This window comes from Homo sapiens, chromosome 16 (genome assembly GCF_000001405.40).
Source record: "Homo sapiens chromosome 16, GRCh38.p14 Primary Assembly".
Lineage (NCBI taxonomy): Eukaryota > Metazoa > Chordata > Mammalia > Primates > Hominidae > Homo > Homo sapiens.
Window position 1 is genome coordinate 22,907,333 of NC_000016.10, and position 12,999 is coordinate 22,920,331.

The 12,999-nt window shown below is 44.4% G+C and overlaps 1 protein-coding gene across 1 annotated transcript in view; it reads left to right on the forward strand.

Moving 5' to 3' along the window:
- The window catches only part of HS3ST2 (heparan sulfate-glucosamine 3-sulfotransferase 2), a 102,177-nt gene extending 93,171 nt beyond the window's left edge, over positions 1-9,006 (forward strand). The window contains exon 2 of the mRNA NM_006043.2: positions 7,612-9,006. Within this exon, the coding sequence (NP_006034.1) occupies positions 7,612-8,230 (619 nt within the window). The 3' untranslated portion in view covers positions 8,231-9,006. The remainder of the gene's footprint in view (positions 1-7,611) is intronic.
- The last annotated feature ends 3,993 nt before the right edge of the window (positions 9,007-12,999 follow it).

Sequence of the window (12,999 nt, forward strand, 5' to 3'; positions counted from 1 at the left end):
TGACTTAATTGGATTTGCTCCAGAAAGCTTAGGATACATGATTGGATTCCCTGGTGGACATGAAATGCAGAATGAATTGAAATGGGAAAAAACAATAGGAGCATGGAGGGCAGAGAGAAATCTGTGGTCTGAGGAAGAGTTGACAAGGGCCTGTGGCTGTTTTCATGGACTAAGGGAGGAGGCTGGAGACTTCAGAAGGTTGGGGAGGTAAAACTTACAAGAACGAAAGACACTGGATTTGAGGAAGAGTTAAGAATGATTCTGAAGTTTTCCTCCTTTCATGATGATATTTGCAAAAGCAGGCAAAAGAGAGAAAGAAAGAAATTTGCAAAAGCGGAGGAAAATGTTCAATTGTTGAAGTGAGGTATCCAGTCTATAGACAAGCATTCTAATTAAGAACATAGGAAAGCTTTAAGTTGGAGCTGCAGTTACAGATTTGTGTGTCAGCATCTCTTAGGTGATGGTTAAAGGCTGGGGAAGGAATGAGGTCATCCAGGAGGATCACATAGAATGACAGAAGTGGGCCCGGCTGCAGTGGCTCACACCTGTAATCCCAGCACTTTGGGAGGCTGAGGTGGATGGATTGCTTGAGCCCAAGAGTTTGAGACCAGCCAGGGCAACATGGCGAAACCTTGTCTCTACTAAAAATACAAAAAATTAGCCAGACACCTGTGGTCTCAGCTACTTGGGGAGCTGAGGCAGGAGGATTGCGTGAGCCTGGGAGGTCGAGGCTGCAGTAAGCTGAGACTGTGCCACTGTACTCCAGCCTGGGAGACAGAGTGAGACCCTGTCTGAAACAAACAAACACAAACCAGCATGAGAGAAGTGGAATGTAGGCCATTGAGAAGATCCAGAATGGTTTGGGGAGAGTTAGGAATTTGTAAAGGGGATGAGGGCTTCAATGAGTAAATGGATTAGATAGGTTGTTGGCTTCATTTAAACTTCAAAGATACCGATAAAGATCTTACTTGTGCCATGGATTGTGGTGGACTCGGGAGATACAGCTGCAAATAAGATACACCCTGCCCTGCCCTCATGTAATTTATAATCAAGTGGGGTGGGTATAGCTTCAACAGAAAATAAGTGTCTTAGTCCATTTTCTGTTGCTCATAACAGATTACCTGAAACTGGATAATTTATAAAGAAAATGAATTTATTTCTTACAGTTATTGAGGTTGAGAAGTCCAAGGTCAAGAGGCTCCATCTGGTGAGGACCTTCTTGCTGTTGGGGGCTCTCCGTAGAGTCCCAAGGCAGCACAGGGCATTACATGGGAAGGGGATTGAGTGTGCTCACTTGCTAGCTCAGTTCCACTTCTTATAAAGACACCACTTCCACTCTCATGATAAACCACTAATTCATTAACACATTAATCCTTTAATTCATTAATCCATGAATAGATGAATCCATTCATGAAGGCAGAGCCCGCATGACCCAATCACATCTTAAAGTCTCCACCTCCCAATAGTACCACGTTGAGGATTAAATTTCAACATGAGTTTTGGAGGGGACAAATATTCAAACGATCGCAAGAGGCCAGACTGTAAAAGATAGGTTAAAATTCTTGGATTGCAAGCAACAAAAACCAACTCTAACTAATTTAAAATAGTAGAAACTTACTGGAAGGATGTGTAGTAACTCACAGAATCCAGAAGAAAGGGGAAGAGCCAGGTCTCAGAAAGGGCAAGAACCTAGATAGCTGCAGGGATTTGGCAACAGAAACTAATGAGGAATCTCTTCCAGGGTTTTATATCTGATTGGAATTTCAATCTTTATGACACCTTTTTAGTCTTTGTAACACAATTGGTTCCTAATAGCCTAACTTTGGACATGCATCCCCACCCTTGGCCCATCAAGATTTTGTCCAAAGCAGGAGTAGTAGTCCTCAAGGAAAAATCTGGGGCTGTTACCAGATGTAGGGAAAATAGTTCCTGAGCAATTTAAAATAACAGGTGGGAGGAAAGTCCAAACAATGAGCATTAGATTATTCTTTCAGTAACTTTTGCAGAGCTACATAGAAAACAAAGGAGACAGAAGCTTAAAAGGGTTGCAGGGTGAGAGAAAAGTTCAGCTGTTTGCTAGCAGCTGGAAACAAGTAAGCAAAATTTAAACAGTGACATAAAGAAGAAAGATGAGCCCCAAGGAAGTCTAATCACGTCTTCCTCCAATGTGCACAGGGCATGGGAAGGTATACACAGTACCTTTGCACGTTATCATCACACAGGACTCCAACACTCTATTCCAATGACCCAAGGAGAAATAAATATTCAAGGGTGTTTTTTGGTGGGATAGAGAAAATTTGAAGTACCCAGGAGCCCTTTGACTTGTGGCATGACTACAGCATGTTTGCAACCTGATTCTTATATCTTCTTTAGTATTTGCCATTTGGTTTTGCAACTGATAACACCAATTAGAAATTAGAAGGGTGGGCCGAGTGCGGAGGCTCATGCCTGTAATCCTAGCACTTTGAGAAGCCAAGGTGTGCGGATCACCTAGGTCAGGAGTTCGAGACCAGCCTGACCAACCTGGTGAAACCCTGTCTACTAAATACAAAAAATTAGCTGGGCGTGGTGGCACATGCCTGTAATCCCAGCTACTTGGGAGGCTGAGACAGGAGAATTGCTTGAACCTGGGAGGCAGAGGTTGCAGTGAGCTGAGATTGTGCCATTGCACTCCAACCTGGGCAACAAGAGCAAAACTCCATCTCAAAAAAAAAAAAAAAAAGAAAGAAAAGAAAAGGAAAAAAGAAGTTAGAAGGGTGGAGCTTCACTTTAGTGCACAGATGGGGGAATAATGTGATACTTTGGAGATCACTGGATTTGGTCAGCATTTTCCAAACTGGTAACAAAAAGAGATGTTAATTGGTGCTTCACAGCTCTATAGTCAAGTAAGCTTAGAAAATCTGTCCTCAATTCCTTTCTTGGATATTCTTTAGTGTATTGAAGGATATTGCAAAGGAATCTGTTTAATGGCAAGTCAAGTCAATTTCCTTGTGCCAGGGAAGACATTTATTGCAACAGCCCCTGTAGAATTTGGGAAGTCTTTAAACACAGTTTAAATGCGCTGTTACACTTATGTAATTTCATCTATTCCTGTCATACAGGCCAACACCTGATTACCATATATGCCACAGTCACGATCTAATATATCCAGATTTCTAAGAAAATCCAGCCAAAGAATTCTATTCAAGTGCCCTTGTGATTGTTTGCACATAATGCAAACAATGTACTCAATACTACTTTTTTTAATTAGTTCTACTCAATTTTTTAAAAATTGTTTTTTAATTGTCTACTCAATACTAACAAATGCTATTAATTGTCCTACTCAATACTAATAAATACGATTTCAACTTTCAACCAAAAAGGGTCTACATAGACTTTGGGCCTAGAAGAAAAAGATCAGTTGTATCAGTCTAGCAATGAATTAGAAGGTTCAAGGCGCCAATGGGTGGGTTTGCAGGAAAGGTAGAAGGGGAAGGGATCTAAGCACAGGTGGATGGGTGAGCCCTTGCATACCTTGTTCTCGGAGACTAGCAGGAGGGGCTCAGGATGGTTGCACATAAGGATTAGCTTTAAGATGGAGGAGAGGCAGGTTGAAGGAGTTGAGGTGTTAGGTTGAAAGCTTATGCCTTTCTAGTGTCATGGGTGACTAGCTGCATGTTAAGGGTGGATGAAAGGATTCAGGCTGGGAGTGTATGATGAGAATTTGAAACATTTACTATGAAAAATGATGGAAAGGGCCTGAAAAGACAAATATAAGATCACTGAGCAGTACTGAGGGTTCAATGGAAGCTAGAATCCATGAACATATTAAGGATATATTTGTAAGTGACAGCAATTTTCTCCAGTGCTGTTTGGCAACCCAGGGACAGAACTGGAAAGGATAAAAGGCTGGAAGGATGCATTATTAGAGACTGGGGAGAGCAATTAGAACAGGAAAATTGATGAGGATGAAGATGATGCTATTGAAATGATTGTTCATTGGGTACAGAGAAGGTATGGAATAAAGTGAAATCAAGAGAATCCCAGATGAATTTGAAAATGGGTATAAGAAGTTTGAGACTGTGGAAAAGGTAGAAAGGGACAAGGTTGTAATCTGTAGTTTCCTGTGGCTACCATAACAAATTACTGCAAACTAGGTGGCTTAAAACAACCAAAATGCATTATTTCACAGTTCTAGAGGATAGAAGTCTGAGACCAAATTGTTAGCAGGGTTGGTTCCTTCTGACTGCTCTGAGAAGAATCTGCCCTGTGCCTCTCTCCTAGCTTCCGGTGGCTGCTGGTGGCAATCCTAGGTGTTCACGTCTTGTAGACATCTTACTTCACACTCTGCCTTCATCTTCAGGTCACCGTATTTCCTGTGTGACTCTTCTTCCCTTCTCTAACAAGGACACTCGTCATTGGGTTTATGGCCCACTCTAATCCGGGATGATCTCATATGCAAGTCCTTAACTTAATTACATCTGCAAAGACCCTTTTGCCAAATAAGGTCACGTTCAAATGTTCTGGGTGGGCTGGGTGTGGTGGCTACACCGTAATCCCAGCACTTTGGGAGGCCAAGGCAGGTAGATCTCTTGAGCCCAGGAGTTCAAGACCAGCCTAGGCAACATGGTGAAACCCTGTCTCTACAAAAAATACAAAAAATAGCTAGGAGTGGTGGTGAGTGCCTGTAGTCCAAGCTACCTGGGAGTTCTGAGGTGGGAGGATCACCTAAGCCAGGGGAGTTTGAGGCAGCAGTGAGCCCTGATGGCACCACTGTACTCCAGCCTGGGCGACAGCATAAGACTCTGTCACGCACACACACAAAAAACCCCAAAACAGAACAAAGGTTCTGGGCGGACATATCTTTTGGAAGGTCACCATTCAAACCTCTACATAGTTTTAGAGTGAAATTTCTGAGTTAACCATTTCAGAGTTAGGGAAATTGCAATGACATGACCCAACGTATGGCCATGAAAAAGAGTTGGTGAAGGGAAGAGAAAATGGAAATACTTGGAGTGTCAAAGGTCAAAGAACTGCGAGGCCAGGGTATTGGGTGGAGATAGTGATAGGAGCCAGGAAGCAGAAAGCTAAGAACCAGGAGTTGATATTCCAAAGGATGTGAGAATGAATGTTCTGGGGGTTGGTAAATCATAGTGTTAGTGATGCAGGGCAGGCGAGCCTTGGGGAGTTCTTGGCTTTGCCCAGGAAACAATTCAAGGGCAAGCCGGTGTTGTTAGACAAGCAACTTTTATTGAAGCAGCAGTGTACAGCAGAAGCAGAGGCACTGCTCCCTGCAGAGAAGGGCTACCCTACAGGGGTGTTGTATAGGCAGTGTATCCAGTGTAGCAGCTCGGAGGCAGCTCTGCAGTCATATTTATACCCACTTCTAATTACATGCAAATTAAGGGGCAGATTATGCAGAAATTTACCACCCTACAAAAAGGGTGGTAGCTTCCAAGTCATCAGGTTGTTGCCATAGAAAGGGATGGTCACCTCGGGGCGTTGCCATGGCAATGGTAAGCTGACAGGGCACACAGGTGGGCGTGTCTTGTGGAAAGCTGCTTCTTCCCCGCCCTGTTTTAGCTAGTCCTCAATTTGGTCCTGTGTCCAAGCAAGCCCTGCCTCCGGAGTCTAGACCCGCCTCCTACCTCATTAGGATTGGGAAAGGTGTTTCTCAACTCTGCCTTCCCATTAGAATGAGCTGAGGAACTTTATAGAAGTATATCCCTTCCCTGAATATTTTGAATCAGTTGTTCTAGGACAGAGCCCAGACATGTTTATTTAAAAAAGAAAGAAAGAAAGAGAAGAAAGAAAGGAAGGAAGGAAGGAAGGAAGGAAGGGAGGGAGGGAGGGAGGGAGGGAGGGAGGGAGGGCGGAAGGAAGGAAGGGACTTCTCGGGTAGTTCTAACGCGCAGCCAGGATTAAGAAAAATGCACGTAAGGGTCAACTATGACCTTCATCAAGAAGTAGCGGTTGGGAACCAGGGATGCTCCCGTCCATCAAGGCCTGAATGAGATGCTCCTGGGAAAGAGACTTCAGTGCTTCCTCCCACATCCCTTAAGGTCTCAAGCAGAGCCAGGAAATTAAAAAGCAAGGGAAAGAGAGGTTACATAGCCTGACTCCTGACTGAGGTCCCAAGCAGCCTGGAGTTCTGTGCTTGTTCAAGCCTACACAAAGGATGTATTTCAAATGTTTTTCAGCAGAAGACGTCAGAACTCATATCTAAAACAGTTGCTATTCCTGCAAGACAAGACTTTTTCCCCAAAAAAAGATTTTCTTAATATATTTGGAGAAATATCTTTTGCCAGAACAATATTCAGTGGCTTACTTTGTAATTTTTGAATATGTAATAAATGCATTAAAATTTTCAAGCAGCTTAAAAGGTTATACAATAAAAAGTAATTCTTAGCCAGGTGCAGTGGCTTGTGCCTATGGTCCCAGCACTTTGAGAAACCAAGGCAGGAGGATCACTTGAAGCTTGGAGTTTGAGACCAGCCAGGGCAACATAGTGAGACCCTATCTCTACAAAAAATACAAAAAATAAGCCAGGCATGGTGGCTTACACCTGTAATCCCAGCTGCTCAGGAGGCTGAGGCAGGAGAATCACTTAAGCCCAGGAGTTCAAGACCACCCTGGGCAACACAGTGAGACCCCATCTCTACAAAAATTATTAAGAATCAGCCAGGAGTGGTGGCATGAGCCTGTAGTCCCGGCTTCTTGAGAGATTGAGGTGAGAGGATCAATGGAGCCTGGAGTTCGAGGCTTCAGTGAGCCATGATTGTAACTCTGCACTGCACCTTGGGAGACAGAGTGAAGTGAGACCCTGTCTCTTAAAAAAAAAAAAAGCAATTCTCATTTATCCCTCATCTTCTAATTCTGCACTCACCTCAAGTTTCCTCCCTAGAAGCAACCACTTTTATTGGTAACTTATTTATCCTTCTTAAGATATACAAGCTGTATCTTGCCTGTTTTCATTTAACACTGTATGTTGGAAATCATTCCATATTAATGCATACAGATCTACCTAACCCTATTAATTGGCTATTCCACAATTTATTTAGCTCACTGTGATGGATGTTTAGATTGTTTCCAGGCTTGAAGCAAACAGGTTAAAAATTAAATAAGAAAAAAAGCCTGTAATCCCAGCACTTTGGGAGGTTGAGGTGGGAGGATTGCTTGAGCCCAGGTGTTCGAGACTAGCCTGGCAACATAATGAGACCCTGCTCTACAAAAAATAGAAAAACTTAGCCAGGCATGATGGCACACACCTGTAGTCCCAGCTACTTGGGAGGCTGAGATGGGAAGATGGGAAGATGGGAAGATGGGAAGATGGGAAGATAGCCTGATCCCAGGAGTTGGAAGCTGCAGTGAGCTGTGATTGTACCACTGCATTTCAGCCTGGGCGACAGAGTGAGACCTTGTCTCAAAAAAAAAAAAAAAAAAAAAAAAAAAAGAGAAGAAAAGAAAATCAACAAGATTTAAAGTGAGTACCTCACCAGGTGAAAGCTTTGAGTGGAACAGAGGCCAGGAGGAGGATGCAACAGGCCCCTGGGTGGAAGGGCTGATGTAGCTGGGCCTGAGGCCTGGCCCCAGGGAAACCTATTTGATGATGTATTCCTTCTGCCCACACAGGAGCCTGATGCCCAGGACCCTCGAGAGCCAGATCACGCTGGAGAAGACGCCCAGCTACTTTGTCACTCAAGAGGCTCCTCGACGCATCTTCAACATGTCCCGAGACACCAAGCTGATCGTGGTTGTGCGGAACCCTGTGACCCGTGCCATCTCTGATTACACGCAGACACTCTCCAAGAAGCCCGACATCCCGACCTTTGAGGGCCTCTCCTTCCGCAACCGCACCCTGGGCCTGGTGGACGTGTCATGGAACGCCATCCGCATCGGCATGTACGTGCTGCACCTGGAGAGCTGGCTGCAGTACTTCCCGCTAGCTCAGATTCACTTCGTCAGTGGCGAGCGACTCATCACTGACCCGGCCGGCGAGATGGGGCGAGTCCAGGACTTCCTGGGCATTAAGAGATTCATCACGGACAAGCACTTCTATTTCAACAAGACCAAAGGATTCCCTTGCTTGAAAAAAACAGAATCGAGCCTCCTGCCTCGATGCTTGGGCAAATCAAAAGGGAGAACTCATGTACAGATTGATCCTGAAGTGATAGACCAGCTCCGAGAATTTTATAGACCGTATAATATCAAATTTTATGAAACCGTTGGGCAGGACTTCAGGTGGGAATAAGCCCACGAAAGGAAAGGGCTCTCAAGGGCTCTTCTGCTCATCTCTTCCGTGAGATTTGCTCCCAGACCCTCTGATCTCCCTCCAACAAACCCTGGCTCCAGCCCCCTTTCCCAACTTGAGTTGCATCATCTTGGAACCAGGAAGCCCAGCTAAAGCCAAGAGACCAGAGAGTCCCTGCCACTAGTTTTCATCAGTCTGTTCAAGCAAAGTTGATCTGCTCCTGGCACGTCCAGTAAATTCCAGAATCATTCTCCTTTCTGCCCATAAAGGGCCTTGGAGAATTGCTTTAAGAAGAGTGAATGTTCCAATGATGATAGATATTATAAGCGATGATGGTTCTGTTGCTATGAACACAGCAGTCGGTCCCTGTCATTGTCCACCCAGGAGTGGCCTTGTTAATTCCAAGTGGCATGTATCTTCCCTCTGAGCTTCATTTCTTCAAGATGCTCTGGGTGGTGGGATGGGAGACCATCCTCAGCCCTCCTCAGACCTTATCAATTCATTGAGAGATTGCAAAGCTGAAAGCACCTCCGGCCACTCCTGGGAGACAGACCCTTTGGTGATGAAATAAACCAGTGACTTCAGAGCCTATGGTCTCAACTGTGCTTGAAAAACACTGTCTCTGAAAACAACTTTGTGATTCTCCCTGCTCCCTGTGGACAAAAGCACATAATTCTGCTGTTACGGGTACTTTGCTCATACGAGCTTTCATGTTCAGCATGCAATGGAATCATGCTTGTCCATGTGAAATAAATATGGCTCTCTCGTGTCCTTAATGCTGGGCTTTTCTCTGTAAGCTGGTTCTGCAGCACAATTCATTAATTAAACTTCTCCCAGTGCAAGAAGGCAGCTGGTGCTGGGGGTGGTCTGGGGGGTCAGGGAGGAGGGCAAGGACTACATGGGGCAGAGGCAAGGCGGTGGTGGAGATGAGGAAAGAAGTTCTTCTTGGCAGAAGCTGGGGCAGAAAGATCACATGAGATCTGTGGGGACACCCTCTATCTGAAACATAAGTCTGTGTTCATTCTCTGCTTAGAAATTTTAGATCTGAAGTGCTACACTGAAGGTCCGAAGGTTGATGGGGCATCAGATATCTTTTTGGTTGGCCAGCATGATATTTTGAAATAACTGTCAACAGTTAGAAACTGGGAGCATTCATATGTAAAAAATATGGATTTTCAGCTTCTTCTTAAAAAAAAAAAAAAAACAAGAGAGACTTGGCTACACTGAGCCTGCCCTGCAGCATGGCAACAATTGGCTGCTGCCTTTGGATGGGGCCTGCGCTCCCCAGTTTTACAACTCCCCATGTAGGCACCCTCCCTTGCTGATTTGTGCCATTTGCCAGGCTCCTGTAGGCATTTGAGTTCCCAGCCCTGCCTTGACTGTGTCTCATAACTTCCTGTAAAGCCCAAATCCTCCCGCATGGCACCCAAGATGACCCCAACTTACAGTTTCTCCTTCATCCTCTGCTCTAACCTTACAGAATGATGTGCCTTTTCTTGAGTTTTTCAAGTCTCCTTCACCTGGAATGCTTCCTTCCTTCACCTGGAATGCTTTCTTCCCTGACACGTCTCCAGCTAATGGAAACCCATGCTCCCAGTAAGACTTCACTCAAGTGTCGTTTGCTTGATATTTTTGAAGCCTTCTCCAGCTAAGCTATCTGCTCACTCTTCTGTTCACTTGGGAGCTTGTACATGACTCAATGGCAGCTTTTGTCACACTAGATTATAATTATTTGTGTAAATGTCTGCCTCCATCATAGATTTGAACTCCTCGAGAGTCAGGACTGTATCTTGCTAAGTTGTAGTAGGCACATAGCAGATGTCTGATGGTTGAATGTGTGAGAGGGTGGATGGATGTTGGAAGTCTGGGTTCGTGGATGAGGGTGTCCCAAGGAACTGCATTTCTGGGGGATGCTTCCCAGATACCTCCATGTGTCCATAGGAAGCAAGGAAGGATTGCTGAACATCTGGGGACTGCTTGGATTTTGTGTGCTCTGTCAGGCACAGTAGAAACTCCCTGAAGATCAGATTGACTTATAAGGGTGGAAGACACTAAAGTGTAATACAACAATTCTGCATCATGGCCCATCTTCCTTACCCAAGCATCTTACATGGAATCAAATGACTGGATCCATGGCATCAAGAAATCAGTTCTGCAGGTCTGCCTCTGTGCTTCCCCTGTGGATCTGGAGAAGTGACAGGGTAGAAGCCGTTCCTGCTTTGAAGTTGGGGCCCTGGCCGTCTGGTGATCAGAAAAAGGGCAGATTGTATATGTGCATTAATTAATTGCCCTTATACATTTCCCATCCAGAAGTATTTGGTGTTCTGTAACTCTGGGCCTTATAGGGGCCAAAGCCATATCCAATGGGAGACAGAAGTGCATTGAGACACAAAGGAATCACCTAAGAAAGAGTCAATGAAATTTGCTTGTTTATTCTGAAGAGATCAGTCAGAATTCATGAAAATTTTGAATTTTTCAATTTTTTGCACATAAATGCAGCTTTATTCCTTCGCATGACAAGCACATTCAGACTGCCCGGACTAAGTAAATTTCAAGTATTAATGAATAGGTATGAGTCTCTTGTAATTAGCATCTCAATCATTGTGTGCAAATGAAAGATGCTTAAAAATCCTAGTTTAAATGAGTAAAATCTGGAGTACATGAATCTGCTCAGCAAACTCTGATTTTTTTAATCCAGTGCAAATGGACCCTTTTACCCAGGCTGCCCCAGGGCAAACTTGCACAAGTTCCAAATTAGTATGCTTTAAATAGATGAAGTTTGAGTGTTCAATCTGAACTAGAAAGGCTCCTCAGGGTGTGTGTGTGTGTGTTTGGTTAGGTTGCTGAAACAGACACAAAATGGCAGTGTCTTAAAAGACTGAAATGTATTTCTCTCTTACTAACAGCCCAGAGTGGACGGCAGTTCCATGACACCAGAGACTGGAGACCCTTGCATCCTACTACATCTGCATTCCACTCAGCAGGAAGAGGGTGTAGAAATAAATGAAGACTATCCAAAAGAGAGCAAGCAGAGGTCATTGATTCAGAGCTTGCCCTAGCAAAGAGTCTTGCATTTGGCAGAAACTCACAGGCTGGCAGAACAGTGAAAAAGGTTCACACTGGAAAAGAGAGAAGGCTTCAGGGGTGCCTGATTGGAGGTAGTTGGCGTAGGAAAGCTGGAAGTGGGCTCATTAGAAGTGGGGCATCCGGCTGGGTGCAGCAGCTCACACCTATAATCCCAGCACTTTGGGAGGCTAAGGCTGGCAGATCCCTTGAGCCTAGGAGTGCGAGACCAGCCTGGGCAACATGGCAAAACCCTGTCTCTATGAAAAAAAAACAAAAGAAAAGAAAAAATAGCTGGGCATTGTGCTACACTCCTGTAATCCCAGCTACTCCGGAGGCTGAAGCGGGATGATCACCTGAGCCCAAGGAGGTTGAGGCTGCAGTGAGCTGTGATCACACCACTGCACTGTACCCTGGACATCTAAAAAAACAAAAACAAAAACAAAAAAAAGGAAAAAACAAAACAAACAAAAAACAAAACAAACAAACAAAAAACGGGCATCTTATGTGATTGATTCAGAGGCATATGTGACTTTCTGTAGTTGATCCTGAGTTGGAAGCAGGGACAAAAAATGGAGAAGCTGGCAGTTATTGACCAAGTCTTGCCCATTCTGGGCCAGTTGCTGCAGGGATTGTGGTCTGGCTTCCCAAGCAGGTTGCTGAAGAGGTTGTGGGTCAGAGTTCTATTGCCATTGTTCGTTGGTACATTCAGTCTCTTAGGAGGAAAAATGGGCCCAGGAAGAACATGCCTTTTCCTTTTGAGGTTGTAACATCATTTCTACTCTCAGCATCTTCATATTGTGAATTGTGCCTCCTATGGTTGTGCAAAGGTAGTGGTACCACTTTGACTTACATCCTCTTGGGTAGAACATAGTTATTTGGTCACACTTAGATGTGAGGGAAGCTGGGAAATGTAATCTTTAATCTGGGTGTTACTATGCTGAGCTAAAAATAGGATATTCTGTAAAAGAAGGGGAGAACAGATATTGAGGGATATCTAGCTGTCTTGGCCACAGAACCTTTTCCACATAGCAAAGCCTCCAGGTGCTTCTGGTTCTCTCTGTGGCTTTGTGTCAATATGTGAGTATGCTTCTCCACACATATTGGAATGTGTCTGTACCTGTTTCAGCCCCTGCTTTCTTTCCCCTGCCTCTGTCTAGGGACAATATGGTATAGAAGCAAGCACAATTTGCTCAGACCCAATAGGTCCAAGTTTGAATCCCACCTCTGTTATTCCCTAGCTACATGACCTTGGGGAAATTATTTAACTTCTTTGAGCCAATTTTATCATCAGTAAATTGGGACATAAATTTGTACCCATGATAAGGGGTTTTTGTTGTGAAGATTAAGCAAGAAAACACTTGCCTCACACAGAGTAGGCAGTCCATTCATATTCCCTTTATTCCTGGCAGTGGAATCCACCACTGCTCCAATACTCCTGTTGGCTGAGATCAGCTGCATCTCTAACAGAACTACAGAATTGCTCATAGCAATTTCCTTCTTCCTATGAATGGGTGAATTAAATCACTTTCACAACCCAGGATCAAGTGGCTCAGTCTAAATGCTGAGCTCCAGATTCTCTGGCCAAATAAACCTAATACCTATGCCCCCTAAGGTAAGGTGCTCATTCACTCTGATTTTCCCAGTTCAGGCCCAGTTTATACCTGTTGTCCTGGCGTAATTATCAACATTGCCTCTTCGCTCTC